Raw genomic sequence first — 16,451 nt, forward strand, 5'->3', positions numbered from 1 at the left:
TAATAAGGAACTGGCTTACATGGTTATGGAAGCTGAGAAGTCCCAAGATCTGCAGTTGACTAGCTAGATAGAATTCCAGGAGAGCTAATGGTGTATTTTCAGTTCAAGTCTAATGGCCTGAGAACCAAAAGTAGTAATGGTATGAGTTTCAATGAAAATGTTGGCAGGCTCATGAACAAAAAAGAGCTGATGTTACAATAAAAGTCTGATGGCAAGAAAAGACCATGATCAACTTAAAGCAATAAAACAGAAGTTCCGTCTTAACTCATGGGAATTTCAGACTTTTTTTCTAGTCAGGCCTTCAATTAATTGGATGATATGCTTTAAAAAGGGCAATCTGCTTTACTCATAAATTGATTCAAATATTAATCTCATTCAATAACACTCTCAACGAAATACCCAGAATAATGATCACCAATTATCTGGGCACTCTGTGGCCAAGTTAATTCAACACATTAAATCAACACAAAGAATCAACTATGAGGTGGAAAAGTAGAAATGTTTAGTAGCTTGGGGTTGAAGAGAAAGGTTAGGACAAGTAATGTGAATTAGAGAATGGGCAGCCTATATGTGACACACAAAACCATGTGACAGGATGTGTATTTCTAATTAAAGACTCATGCCTAGCTCATTCTACGACTAGGTAAAAAAATGAAAAGAAACAAGCAAGTCTGACTGAAAATAATTACTTGTTGAGGTAGGAGTGCCATAAAAGAGTTTTACTTTTTGAGTCAAGTTAAGAGTGATTCAAGAAGGAGGGAATTAATCAAATGTGTTGAATACTGCTTGTAGGTTTATTGGGCTGAGACCTAAGAAATGACTACTAGTTTTGTCATTATAGCAATAATTTTACTGAACGGTATCCAGTCTCTGATCTGATCTTGCAAAACATTCCCAAACATCTCCAAAATTGTCAGTCCTAGGATACTGGATACTGGACTTGTACTTCCTTGCTTTTTTTCTTTTTTTTTTTTTTTTTTTTTTTTTTGAGTCAGAGTCTCACTTTGTTGCTCAGGCTGGAGGGCAATGGTGCAGTCATGGCTCACTGCAGCCTCAGCCTCTTGTGCTCAAGTGATCCTCCTACCTCAGCCTCCCAAGTAGCTCCCTGCAAACATGAGTATATGTATTAGTCCATTTTCATACTGCTATGAGACTGGGTAAGTTATAAAGAAAAAGAGGTTTAATGGACTCACAGTTCCACATGGCTGGGGAGGCCTCACAATCGTGGTAGAAGGCAAAGAAGGAGCAGAAGTACATCTTATGTGACAAGAGGCAAGAAAGTGTATGTAGAGGAACTGCCCTTTATAAAACCATGAGATATCATGAGAATTATTCACTCTCATGAGAACAGTACAGGAAAAACCCGCCCCCATGACTCAATTACCTCCCACCAGGTCCCTCCCATGACACATGGGGATTATGAGAGCTACAATTCAGCATGTGATTTGGGTGGGGACACAGCCAAACCATATCGGTGTAGTCTCATGGGAAATACCATATCGTAAACTGTCTTATGGAAAAAACAATATCATAAACTGTGGAGACATATGACTATTAGTTTTCTTCCTTTCTTTTGAAGTTTTGCATATGGAACATGCAAGCATATGATGGGTCTACAGTCTGCCTACTCATGCTTTGAAGGTGATTCATACAAATCTCAATGTATAGTCCTCCTATTCATCCTGCCACACGTCTTCCCTACTTATTTTTGTTTAATGGTAAAAGAAAGTGGAAATAAAATTCATTCTCTGTTAGGGCCAAAGCCAAAGTGGTATCTATGACACTATTTTGAACACTCAATTACATATATTAAACTAACTGTTGTGAGAATTATTCTGTATTTTATGGTATATAAATGTCAGTTACAAGTGTTATGCATAATTTTAAATTTTGATTATTTATAATGAGATCTCTCATGAGTTTTTGAATTCCTCAATTATTTTAGTAATTTTGTATTCATGAACAACTACCAAACATTTAGCTTATTCTCCATAATATGAAAAACTCCTTTCAAGACACTTATATTGGTGCCTTTTTTCCCCACAAAATCTGCAGCAGTTGGAAATTTTAATTAATATTTCAAGTCACTTTCTCACAATCTGTATGTATAGCAAACAAAGCAGTATCCTTCCTGATTGAATATTTAGATTTAGTCCTTCACAAGAAACTTATCCAAGGAAATTTATTTCTTCTTGGTCATACATTCAGTAACAGTTCCTTGTAACTACTATAATTGAATATCCCTCTTAAAATTCTGTGTTGCCTTTCTTAAAATTTTCAATCATTGGTCATGAACAACTCCAGGAGAGCAATATTACCTCTCATTCTTTTTTTCTGATTTGTCTAACTGGTCTCCTACTGATTCAGATTTTGATTTCCTTTCACTGTATCATGAATCCCCCTGGAAAAAAAGAGTATGCAAAGTTTGCATATTTGTTTCTATTCATCACAGTGCATGATTCAATTGTTTTGACAAGATACTACTCATTAAAAATAGGATAAATGTGTAAATTAGGTCAATCTACCACATTATAATTATTTATTCATTAAATGAAATAGAAAATATGCATTTAATGATGTTCTTTTTTTTAGTTCTAAATAGCTAGAGGTCAGGGATAATGTTTTACTTTGTCTTTTGTTAGAATATCTGATGCAGAGTTGACACTAACAATGTCAGTTGATTTCATTTGAATTCATCATACAATTGGATTGAAATTCTGATTATTATTCTCATGTAGTCCAGATAAAGAAATGGAAGGAGTATTTCTTCTATTTCTTTTCAAATATATAAAAAGTGCTGATTTGGGACTAAAAAGCTTCTATTTTATTAAGTAGAAAAAATTTAAATCATGCTTCAACATCTTCTACAGTAGTGATTATAAACTTCTTAAGAAGTCACTGATACCTTGGAGGATGTGGCACAAACCTAAAGGCCTTCTCCCTTATAAATATAAAGTTGGATTCCAGAGCCTTCCCAAACCTTAACTTCTAGTATCCAAGGACTATGAAAAGAATCCTGATCTAAAAAAATATATAAAGTGATCCAGATATGTTATTTCTATCTATAAATGAGGAAACCATGTTTCAGTGATATAATCCTAATAATCCCAAAGCTTACTAATAGTAATTATTATTGTTACGTCTGTAGTATGGTGTAAGGTAAATAGTAATGAATTTGAAGTTATTTTTCCTACATTCAGTTGAATTGACACTGTTTAAAGACTTTATTCAATGCTAAATGATGAGTTAATGGGTGCAGCACAACAGCATGGCACATGTATACATATGTAACTAACCTGCACATTGTGCACATGTACCCTAAAACTTAAAGTATAATAATAATAAAATAAAATAAATAAAAATAAATAAATTTAAAAAAAGGCTTTATTCTTCTTTGGCTCAGATTATTGTCCCACATATTAGACATTGCACAGATAATGGCACATTCTATGTACTTAGAAAATATGTACATTCTATTATTATTTTCTTAATTTCTATAAGTGACAGGTTATAAACTAAAATTACTAAGTTTAATAATTTATTGATTAATAACATTTTCTCCTAGTTCAATGTGTGTATTTCAATTTTATTTTCAACTTTTGTTTTTTTGTTTTAACCTAATTTTAGATTAATATTTTAAATATTTAGCTTCATATGTACTATATGATTAGTGAGATTCATTATTGGGATTAATAAATTACATGACTATGCTTAGGACACAATTCTATGTCATTTACTTTTAAAAAACATTTTCTTCTCTCGAAGTTGACATTAAAAAATTATCAGGATCATACAACTTCAGGCAAACAAAACTAATTTTATTAGTTACTTATTATTATTTTAATTTTTTCCTGATAATACATAAGCATTTTTGTGATTTATAAATTCATATATATTTTCAATATTTTTGTTTTTATTTTTCCTCTTTGTCCATAATTAAAAATCAAGCAATATTGAAAACTTAAGATATAGTAATATAACATTTTATGGAAATCAATGATACTTACAATAAAGTTTAGACAGTATGCAAATTTAGATATTAAAGACTAAATTCTACACATACTATATTTTTCTAATTATTTTCATATGAAAAAATAGAAATATTTACATGTTTATCAGGGTTACCCTAAACATGCGTGATTATGACCAAACTGTGGCTGTGCAAAGATCAAACACATAATTATGCATTACAAAAAATTGGGTGAAACATACAGTGTGATGTTATATTATATATATATTACATTCAAAATTATTCAAATGTATACATAACGTGATAATCTACAATAAAACATAAAAGACAAAAATTTGGAATATCTGTGAAAAGTTATCAAGAATATCAGTATCATTCTTGAAATTAGCTTTAGTGTGTATATTGATGTTTGTTCTATGTCTTTATATTTTACATATGCATCAAGTATATTCTTTGTTATGCATGAAATATATTATTAAAGTGTAATAAAAAGCTGCAAAAGCTCAATTTTAAATTGAGACAAAATACATCTCATGTAAAACTTCTTCCATATGCACAGCAATATATTTGGAAATTAATTGTATTTGGCTCATACTTAGTGTTTTTGTATTTATCAAATTAAATAAAGAATAACACTTAGGTATAATTTCAGTATTGTTTTTGTAAATGCCTGCTTTCAATCATATAGAAAATTACCCCTGAAAAATTCCTATGATTTCCAATGCATGTTCGTACCAACGAATTTTTCTCTACTCAGGAAATACACCTTTTCACAACATTATTATGTTAGTTTAATTATCCCTATACATATTATTATAATGAAAACCTATTTTAAAAGGTTTCATTTCTTTGAAGACAGCCACTTTTTTGAAACACTGTTGTCAGATTATAGAAAAAGATATTTTCTTTTTAAATGTTATACTGTACACTGAATTTTTATCATGTTAAATATTAAATTAATTAGTTTAAAGAATATTTAAATTTTTACTAATTTTAATTTTTTAATTATAAAAAAGTTCATATATGGAGCAAATGGATAGCAAGTTATTTCTCTGACCGTAACAAAATTGTAGAAAATCTTGACATATTTTGGAAAATAATGTTTTTTCCCTTTAAAATATAATGTGCAGAGATTTTCTATTTTATTTAAAAATTATTTGAGAGAATTAATTATGTCACTGCAAAACATGGGCTTTGTTTGAAGAGTACTTAGAGTTTTGTTAATTTAAAAATTTCTACAACTTAAAAAAATCCTTTTTATCTATGCAAGCACACAGTTGGCAGGTCTAGGTAAATGACAAGATTATGTATAATGTTTAAAATGCATTGTATTGCAAACAAAAAAAGGTTTCCATTCATGTAATTATGAATATCTAACTAGAAAATTAAAACTCACTCAGCATTTTGACAATGTTCTATGCATGTCACTGAGGAAGATATGAAGATTGATTAAAAGAATTAATCTCTCAGAGAGTGAAATATTTAATATAAATTTAAAGTGCCTCTAAATGGCCCAGTGATGTTTGCCAATCATTCTATTTATTCGTATTAAGCTGCATAGTTTCCACATTAGTACCTAATTCAAACCTTTTATCACCACCCTTAAAAGCCTACTCCAAGTCTTTTACTTTAGCATACAACTTTAGTTCCTGATTTATTTTTGGGTGCAAAGTAATGATTTATGTTTACTCAACTTCCCTATTTTCTGCCTAATTTTTTTGATACCTTACATCCATCTTGTAATTCTGATACATCTTCTCTTGTCTACTTTCTCCCTAGGCTTTTAAAGGCGAATTCTTTTACTATTTTAAAAAATCACTTATCACTTTACCCCAGTAGGTTTTTGATTAGATAATTTTCTTTATCATGGATTGTCCTTTCTTTCTATTGTATCTTTCATTCTAGACAAAACTCAGGCCCTCATGTCTACAAACTCTTCATATTCCTATGTGTACAAGGTGCCTCCACACATTTCTCATCTCCTCTGTAAATCACTATAAGCTATTTTCTTGTCCTTATTTTCTTGCTAAAATTCCTGTCTTATGAGCTACAGCTAAGTGTGTGAAATTAAGAAAAAAATGGTGGATATATGGATGATGAAATGGAGAATCATAGACAATAAAGGTGTCTGAATATTTATTATGACAAATGTATTAACCAAATATGCATTCAGAAACTAACTCCCATGATTTCTAGTTGGGCGAAGTAAGCTAAACCACAGTTTCCTTTTCTAAAAGAATAAATTAATACTAGCTACTTTGCTGCTTTTTTGTCAGTTAATTAAAACAATGCATGTAAAGATCTTATCACAGTGCCTACCAAATAATAAGCATTATTTCAATGTAGTTGATCACATATATAAAACATACACGTGTGTTGGCTGTATATATGTGTATATATATTATATAGTGTGTGTGTATAATCTTAAGACTATGGAATTTTTAAAACATATTTTGTTGGTATTACCTAACTGAAATGAGAACTTATTTAAGTTAAAAGCACAATATTCATTGTCTCCAGAATAAATAATAAATACATTTGTTTCTATTAATGCTTATATTAAATCCGCATTTCTACATACAGAAATAAGTTATTAACTGTTATTGGGAGAAAATCATATCTTTTTATCCATATAATAAACAAACTTAAATGCTGCCTTATTGTGTGATTTTCAAGAATGGTAAATTCCTGCATTAACCTTTTTTAGAAATTATGTACCATGTTTTTATATTTTATTGCTGCATATAGTTATGAATGAAAGGATTTCTTGTCAAAAAGAGAGAAATACGTGAGAATTTACATTTAACTAGACATATAGGTGTTAATTTTTTTAATTTTTAAAATATTGATGCTGTATCCTCACTTTATTTTATCATTAAGGAGAATATGTCTCTATGACCATAATTTTTCCTGCATGTAAGATTATAGCAGAAAAGGCAGTTTCCTATATAGGCCAGTGGACAGGGTAATTGCAGTCAAATATTACAAGGTCACGATATGGCACTTCTAACACAGGACTCATTATTTACAATCATAATGAGTCCATCTGCAATAGTCATGGTATTATATTTTCCAAGTTCCATTACAGGCATGTGTATTAAATTCCATAGGTACATCATAATTTAGAAATCTAGTTTGTAATATGGCAATGTAGAAGAAAGGCAGTTTGTAAGTCAAATTGTATGAATTATTATGAAAATTTATTTAATCTGTGACTACAGTATTACAAAATGATACATGTCTTGGTACCATGCATTTTGGCTTTTATTCATAAGTGTTAGCTATACTAGTAGAAACAAAGAAATCAGGAGTTAGTGTCAAATCATCCATGGATTCTTTACTATTTTGGGATCACAAAACTGTGTCTCTCATAAAAGCTATCTATAATCTTTGAATTAAAATTCAGGCATGCATAAGAAAAGATAGTTTTCCCCAGGCTGGCATAAGCAATGGTAGAAAGGGAACCACAGAATTTTATGTGCACCTAGAACCTCTCCATGCATAAATGCACAGATGCACACAAACATACACACACACACACACATACACACACCAGCAATATTTTCTGCCTTAAAGATTTCCAGAGCTAAAAGCATTCTCCCTTTCCTTCTATTTCTGGTCATATCAGTCAGCACAAAAACTTGAGCTCCCTCCCATTCATGAGAATCCATTCCCACATGACTTTTGGTCAAGTCTTCACTTTCTCTCTCCTCCAAGAGTGTCCAAACTGCCTTCCCTGTAAACAAGATATAAGAAATAATCCTGCCCCACAGTGAGGTTGTAGTTTTGTTCTTTTTGTGTAATACAACCCTCAACATTCTGTGTAACTCTTCTGTGTAGTAAAGTCTTTCAAAGGTCTGAGGATTGGCTGGATAATTTGCTATTTTATTGATCTCATAGGCCATACAGCCAAGTGAACTCATCCTGAGAATTTTACTTTACTGAAATTGGGTGCCATTAAGCCAAAGGTTAGTCTTTGTGATTGTTTTCATTGAGGATTTCCTGTTTTCTAAATACCACCTGAGGGTCATGCCATAATTGCTAAGATTAGTTTTTCATTTCTAAGGCCTTCATTTTGATGACCTGATGCCCACCAGTAAGCAGAGAAATACAGTCTCATTTTTAGAGAAGATTTTATGGACAAGGGTGGAGGCTCTCATTTCAAGCAGAAGCATTGTAAGGGAAGCTACATTTATTTAAATTATAAATTTGAATTTCATTTTGTACTGCAACAGAAGCCAATCAATCTTCACAGGCAACAAAGAGTGTGAAGTGTATATGATGGAATCAGCATTTAAATGTGATGCAGTTTTATAGAAGCACTTGTTTTAAGAGCTCCGAAAGACTGATTAACTAAAAGCGCTTTATGTGAAAGTATTTAGCTTCAGTAAGTTTTACATGGGCTACAATCTACGTATTATATGTGCTTAAGAAAGCAAATTTGACAGATGCATAATAAAAGATATTGTAAAATGCATATTTCCTTGTGATAGAATCTAACGCGGGTTATCAGAAGTCAGCTTATTATCTCTAAACAAAGCATAAATATTGAAAATTATTACAGACTACAAAGTGGAGATAATTCATTTTTCTATATATGCTGTACAAAATACATAAAATAGATTATGTTTTAACTATGCAATTTCTTTGCATAGTTTTTTTCTGAATTAGCTTTAGTCTCTTAAATCTGGGTAGTGAAGCCTTGGAGGCCATAAGGACCCAGAATAGTCAATCAAAATCAGATATGAAGTTGCATGGTACCCTCACACTCAACCTCAGGCTCCACATGGAAAATGACCCTCTTCCTGTGTACCCAGAGCCTGGAAATAAATGCAGACAGAATGCAGCCTTGGTAGACAAGTGAAGTTTAAGTAAACAGGAACTATTTACCTGTCACTGAAAAGCCATGCTTTTTTTTTTTTTTTTGTACTATAGGCAGGTCAGGACTTAGGATTACAAAAGTTCAATCAGTTATTACAATTAAGGATTTCTAGTATTTCGATCAACTGGACACTATGAGTGAGAATGTATCCACTAAAACAATTAGTGTAGTGTACTTAAAATGTAAGAGTAAAATTAAATTACAAATTAACATTGAAATTAAAATGTGTGTTATTATGAAGCCAATGTTTACCCTTAATTATTATTATAATTTTTAAATATTAATTTTCCTACTCCAATACATTACATATATGCTGAATTTTAGGCACCATGCTTGCAGCAAATGAGAATCAGGCATCTGAAGATTGCCTTTATTTCTCATTACTACTTAAATGGCTTAAGGCAAATTACTTAACATTAATCTGAACCTCAGCTTCCTCATCTATACCATGGAATGACAATAATTATAAAATAAATAAATATATTTAAAATTAAATTTAAGTACTTATGAGGTACTTAGCATACAGACTCCTCTGTTATGTGAGGAGCTCTCATTCTATAAGTTTTGACAAAAGACAGGGACCAACCTTCTTCCAAAGAAGTGACATCAAACCAGTTATTTTTTTCTCCACAATCCTGGAATCTAAGGTGTGAGTACATGCATTAGTTTTGATCTTCCAGATATTTACACCTGGGTGGGACTTTGCATACTGAATGTCAATGACTCAGGAGCAAGTTAGAAAACTCTTACAGTGGCAAGGACTGTGAGACATATCCAGGAGGAGCTGGAGGAGTGGACTCGGCAATCCATCTGTGACAGAAGTGGTATCCAAAGTTGGGTGCCTTTTGGTATGATTTTTGATCCTCACGCTGCCTCACTTCTGTTAACTTCTGTATATTTTCTAAGACTATTCATGAATCATCTAATGTCCTTCAAAAAATCATTCTGCTAAAAACCTTCAAGTCTATTCCTGTTTGCAACTATGAACCATAACTGACATATTTGGTCTTCAGAGTGCAATGAGAAAGATAAAAGATAAAGAAACTCTTAATACTCTTTGATATGATTTTATGTGAAATATTGTAGTTTTATTTTAAACAGTTTTGTTCAACTATAACCCGTCTAACTTCTTACATTTAGTGAGTTTCTCCCCTATTTAGAGACTGTGTATTAGTTTTCAATAGTTGCTGTAACAAATTGCCACAAATTTAGTGACTTAACACAAATTTATTACTTTAATTTTTGAAGGAAAGAAATCTGAAATGCATCTCCCTAGGCTAAAATTAAAGCATCAGCAAGGTTGCATTTTTTTCTGGAGGTTGTAGGGGTGAATCCATTTTCTTCCCCTTTTCAACTTCTAGAAGCTACCATATTCTTTAGCTCATTAACCTCTTTATCCATCTTCAAAGCCCAACTACAGCAGGTTGAGTTCTACTCACATTTCATCACCCTAATTTCCTCTTCTGCTCCTTTCCTCCACATTTCAGAATCTTTGTGATTACATTCAATTTTTTTCAGATAATTCAATATCATCTCCAAATTTTAAGGTTAATTGACTAGCAACTTTAATTCCATCTGCTACATTAATACCTCTTTATCATGAAAAGTAGCATATTCACATGTTCCAGGGATTCGAATATGGATATCTCTGGAGGACCATTATACTGACTACTATAAATAACACTCCAATAAAATATTTTTTGTATGTATATATGTATGTATGTTCAATATTACATGAACAGATATAGAAGAGATGAAAGATATAAGGCAGGTTAAAATATAATATATTTGCTTAGTCTATAACTAATAATTTTAACCAATTCCAAATATCTTATTCATTGGGTAGAAGATTTTGTGTACATACTTTTTTTAACTGAAATTTATTTTGAAGATTTGTACATAATTTTTACAAGTACGACTGAAAAAATAATGTCATTTTGTGGCTTTTGAAATTGAAGTAACAGAGATAGGAGTTGTAGAAGAGGTGGGATCTTAGGAATTATGTGCCTGTAGATAATTTCTCCTTTTATTTAGTAACAATGCCAGTAGAAACAGAGGAATACAGAGGAATAAGGTGTTTTATACCAAGGGAAAAACAATGAAAAGCTATTTTAGGGCCAAATAAGTTGAAGTCCATTGAAGTAAATGCATATGAAGTCAACTAGATATGTAGCTATTGAATCTGGTTTCTGCTACACACAAGAAGCATATTGTGAAATATGAAAGAATATATGAAATTAAAACAGTGAAACATTTTGCGTTATCAAACAGGAAACTGAACATAATTATTTATGAAAAAACAGCTACTTTATCATACAGGATTACTGAATAATATGAAATGTAACAATGTTTCTCTAACAATCATCTTAAATATTTCAAAATCACATTTCATGTTTTTATTTTTTTATTTTGGTTCTTGTCTAGGTTCTACCAGAAAAATTCCTTTGTCACTTGCATTTCTGTTTGTGAGACAGTTTTTTTAATGGTTAAAAATTATACCCATTTCAAAGAGAAGGAAAACAAAGTGAGTTTGAAGCAAAACTAAGTCTACCTAATAAATCATTGTGTTATCAATGCCTAAAGTACCTGAAAGGATAACTAATATTCTTCACAATTTCATAAACAGTCTCTACCCTTCTTTGAAAATGTTTTTTATAAAGCAAGGCAATAAATTAAAAGAAAATATTGTATTTACTGTGCTGTTTTTGATAGTTCCACAAATATTAGAATATTTTTATTGATATTAATATATTAGTATTATGACTATATTTAGATTTAAATATACTTGTGTAATTGATCTACAGACTTATGTACTTGTGTAATTGGTCTACAGATGTAACATTTTGTATTTTTAATTCCTTGGAAAATTTTCTGTACACTGAAAAGAACAACAATATTACTATAAAAATTAATTTATTTGTTTCTTGGCAGTGATTGTGATTTTTGCATTGTGTGTATTATGTGTGGTTTTTAGAAGTCCATTTCTCTTTTAAACATTTTAATATTTATGGTCAGCACTTTTCAGATTACCACACCTTAGCACTATTTAACAATTGGAATATTTATTGATATTTAAAACCGTAAAATCCTACAGCAGCAAATTATGCAAACAATATTAAATAAGGAAAAATATGGTTCAAAGGAAATTAATCTATTGGAATATTAAAATGAAATGGAAGCCATGGAATGAGATTATGTGAGTTTCAGGTTTAATCTTTTTGAACATATGTGCAGGTTTTCACTGGAGGGCATTCCCCTTTCCCAGAAGTCTAGATCAACACAATAGGTTAAATCAACTGACCTCCTCATCCTAGTTTCCTCTAGGTGATTTTATTTTCTGCAGTATTCTATTTAACCTCTAATCTATTTTTCAGAAACTCTTTAACCTTCTCCAATAAATTCACAAGCCTTTAGGGATATTTGGAGTTTGTTACTATTTGTTTTTAATTGATTGGTATTTTCTTTAAATTAAAAAAAAAAGAAGAGAAAACAAATTGGTGCGAGCACTCTTTACACAGTACATTGAGTGGTCAGTAAAGGTTAATTTTACTGTGTTCTGTACTAACCAAATTGTTTTAAACTAAACTACTAATGAAATTTGTTGATAGAATTTGAAGTCACATTATCAACTGAGAAGAAGAAATCAGGATATTAGGCTGGAGTAATAATAAGCAATAAGGGTAAAGAGAAATTTAGAATTTATAGCTGCAATTTTAAATAGAGATGATGTATAAGATGAGATCACAGAAAGAGTAGATTGCTAAATGGAAGAAATAAATGAATGTTGTTTTTCGAAGTGCAATTTTTACAACCACTACTACCAATCTTTTGTGCTACTGCATAGAAGAAAACGTTCTTACAATTTTCAAATATAAGCATTTATAACAATCTATCAGATAATTTTGTCAATTTAAAAAGGCCTAAAACATGGGCCTATACTATATATATATATATATATATATGCACATATTATAGTATATATACACTATACTATATATATATACACTATACTATATATATATACACTATACTATATATATACACTATACTATATAGAGAGGCCTATATATATATATATATATATATATATATGCACATATTATTCTATTAAGAAAACAAAACAAAAAAAAGAAAATATCATCTGTTGGTTGCTACTTAATGGTGAAATGATAGAATGCATTCCAAAAGATAAGTTTTATAAAGAGAAACTTATACGGGTAAGGAAATGATCACACAAAAAATTATGACCTGTTTGCATTTAGTTTGTAATACATAGAACTATTGCAGTCCTTTGTTAAATTTAACTTTCATAGACTGTCATCAACTACAAGCTCTTCAAAGGGTGTTGTCTCATGATTAGTGTGCCTGACATATAATAAACTCTAAATAAATATGTGCTAAATGAGTTCACATTGTAACTATTGTTGCCATAGTAGTGAAACAGAATGGCTTAAAATAATAGCATGGGCTTAGGTTTTTTGTTTTGTTATATTTTGTTTATGCTATAGTTTCTTGCAAGAAGGTAAAACACCTGTAAGATATCAGACATTTAGAAAATTACTACATGAGATGAAATTATTAATTGTAATTAAAATCATGTGTTAGAACATATTTCATTTAAAACAAATCTTTTGAGATATATATATATATACACACATATATGTATAATTTTCAAGAGACATTAATCTCATTTGAAATGCAATGAATTTCTTTATATAACTAAGTTTTCCAATTAGGATTTATATTGAGAACCAGTACAGCTTTCCAATTATATATGCATTATAAATGTGTGTTTAGAAAATTGATATTGTCACGGGATATTTGATGTGTCACTTCACCAGCCGGAAACCTCTGTGGCTGTCGGTGCCTTTGCCCAAGTTTTGCTCAGGCCCCATGAGCTCATTCCACCCACCAGGCCTGGCAGGCTGGGTTTGGCTCACACTACTGGCCCAAATCTCACGCCTGTAAGGGTGAGTAAGGTGCAGAGCGGTGATGGGTATGTGAGCAAGCAAGCAAGCACAAGATCTAGCCATTGTGCCTAGCCAGGCATGCCAGCTGCAGTGGGGTGGGAAGCCCCAGGCACCAGCATGGACGTTGGCTTACTGTGAGGCTATTGGACCAGACTTACCACAAGCAGCTTCCACGACTGGCACCGGGGAAAGCCGAGGTGCCCAGAAGCTTGGAGACGCCAGGAACCACAGAGCCCCAGAAAGGGTGTCACAGTCTTGGCTCTCCGATCTCCTAAGTCTGGGTTTGCCGAAGGGTCGCAGATCTTCTCTCCTTTCTTCCCTCCCTCTTGTCATCCACAATGTGGCGAGCAAGGGGCATGTTTCAATCCTGTTTGTGTTACAGCTATTTTAGCTCCACCATACCGGCAAGTCCCAAGTTCTTGTCCTGTGTCCAGGATGAATGAGGTAAGGCAGACAAATGGAGGGCGAGTAAGCAGAAGAAGACCTTTACTGAGCGACAGAACAGCTCAGAGGAGACCCAGAGTGAACAGCTGGTTTCCATAGGCAGGGCGTCCCAGTGAGTGTTCAGCTCTCAGCAGAGACGAAGCCCACAGTGGGTAGCTCCTCTCTGCAGCTGGTAGTCCTGATGTCTGCTTAGCTCTCAACAGAGAGGAGACTCTGGAGTGCGTAAGGGGCAGGAGGCAGAGGGCCCTCCCAGCTCCCAAGAGCACAGAGACTTCCGGGACCACAGCCATGGCTGGGCAGCTGCAGCTGCACCCAGAAGGGAGAGGATCTGCTCCTGCTCGCTCTGATCCCCAAGCACAGGGATGCCTGGCTCCAGGGCTGCGGCTCGGTGGCCACAACAGCAGCCAGGGAACAGGAGGCTCCCGTCCTGCCAACTCACAAGGAGGCAGGGTTTTCACCTATTCCCAGCTCCCACCAGCTCTGTGGAGTGCACAGCCCTAGCTACACGTCTCACACTGATGGCGTCACGGCAGTGGCTGGTCCAGATGGGCTGCCGCTGCCATCAATCACATCTCTGAAGAGGTATATCTAACTGCTTCATGCTGACAGGGGGCCTGGTTTTGGGGAAAATGACAGATCTCTCTCAGAGTCCTATGCATAGGTTCCCAGTAAAAGGGAAGTCATGGAGTCATGGAGGAGAGAGAATCTACAACCATGTTTTCACAGACAGAGAGAAAGAAGCCAGAGGTTCAACTGGTAAGAATTCTTTTTTTTTGAGCCGCAGTCTCACTGCACCCAGGCTGGAGTGCAGTGGCGCGATCTCGGCTCACTGTAACCTCCGCCTCCTGGGTTCAAGCGATTCTCTTGCCTCAGCCTCCCGAGTAGCTGGCATTACAGGCCCGTGCCACCATGCCCAGCTAATTTTTGTATTTTTAGTAGAGACTGGGTTTCACTATGTTGGCTAAGCTGGTCTCGAACTACTGACCTCAGGTGATCCGCCCGCCTCGGCCTCTCAAAGTGCTGGGATTACAGGCATAAGCCACCGTGCCAGGCCAAAAATTAAACTTTTATGCCTCAGAGGGGAGTGTCCCGTGGTGCAGAGACATGATTACCCATCTGCAAAGAGAGGACAGGGGAGGAAAAATGAACAGCCTGGAGGAACTCTGCAGTGGGTAGCTCCTCTCTGGAGCTGGTAGTCCCAAAGTCTGCTCAGTTCTCAGCAGAGCAGAAACCACGGAGTGGCTAGCTCCCTGTGTCCGGAATTGGTGGGTTCTTGGTCTCACTGACTTCAAGAATGAAGCTGCCGACCCTCAAGGTGAGTGTTACAGTTCTTAAAGGTGGCGTGTCCGGAGTTTGTTCCTTCTGATGTTCAGATCTGTTTGGAGTTTCTTCCTTTTGGTGGGTTCGTGGTCTTGCTGGCTCAGGAGCGAAGCTGCGGACCTTCGCGGTGAGTGTTACAGCTCTTAAGGCGGCGCGTCTGGAGTTGTTCGTTCCTCCCTGTGGGTTCGTGGTCTCGCTGGCTTCAGGAGTGAAGCTGCAGACCTTCGCGGTGAGTGTTACAGCTCTTAAGGTGGCGCGTCTGGAGTTGTTCCTTCCTTCCAGTGGGTTCGTGGTCTCGCTGACTTCAGGAGTGAAGCTGCAGACGTTCCCGGTGAGTGTTACAGCTCATAAAGGCAGTGTGGACCAAAAGAGAGTGAGCAGCAGCAAGTATTGCAAAGAGCGAAAGAACAAAGCTTCCACAGTGTGGAAGGGGACCCCAGGGGGTTGCTACTGCTGGCTCGGGCAGCCTGCGTTTATTCTCTTATCTGGCCCCACCCACATCCTGCTGATTGGTAGAGCTGAGTGGTCCGTTTTGACAGGGCACTGATTGGTGTATTTACAATCCCTTAGCTAGACATAAAGGTTCTCCACGTCCCCACCAGACTCAGGAGCCCAGCTGGCTTCACCCAGTGGATCCTGCACCGGGGCTGCAGGTGTAGCTGCCTTCCACTCCCGTGCCGTGCGCCCGCACTCCTCATCCCTTGAGTGGTCGATGGGACTGGGCGCCGTGGATCAGGGGACGGACGGCACTCGTTGGGGAGGCTGGGCCGCACAGGAGCCCACGGACGGAGGGGAGGCTCAGGCATGGCGGGCTGCAGGTCCCGAGCCCTGCCCCATGGGAAGGCAGCTAAGGCCCGGAGAGAAA

At 34.8% G+C, this 16,451-nt stretch overlaps 1 long non-coding RNA gene across 1 annotated transcript in view; it reads right to left on the minus strand.

The window, feature by feature from the left end:
• The window catches only part of LINC00355 (long intergenic non-protein coding RNA 355), an 89,641-nt gene extending 74,891 nt beyond the window's left edge, over nucleotides 1-14,750 (minus strand). Inside the window, exon 1 of the long non-coding RNA NR_145420.1 lies at nucleotides 13,981-14,750. This is a non-coding gene — a long non-coding RNA (long intergenic non-protein coding RNA 355). The remainder of the gene's footprint in view (nucleotides 1-13,980) is intronic.
• Between the last annotated feature and the right edge of the window lie 1,701 nt (nucleotides 14,751-16,451).

This window comes from Homo sapiens, chromosome 13 (assembly GCF_000001405.40).
Source record: "Homo sapiens chromosome 13, GRCh38.p14 Primary Assembly".
NCBI classification, from domain to species: domain Eukaryota; kingdom Metazoa; phylum Chordata; class Mammalia; order Primates; family Hominidae; genus Homo; species Homo sapiens.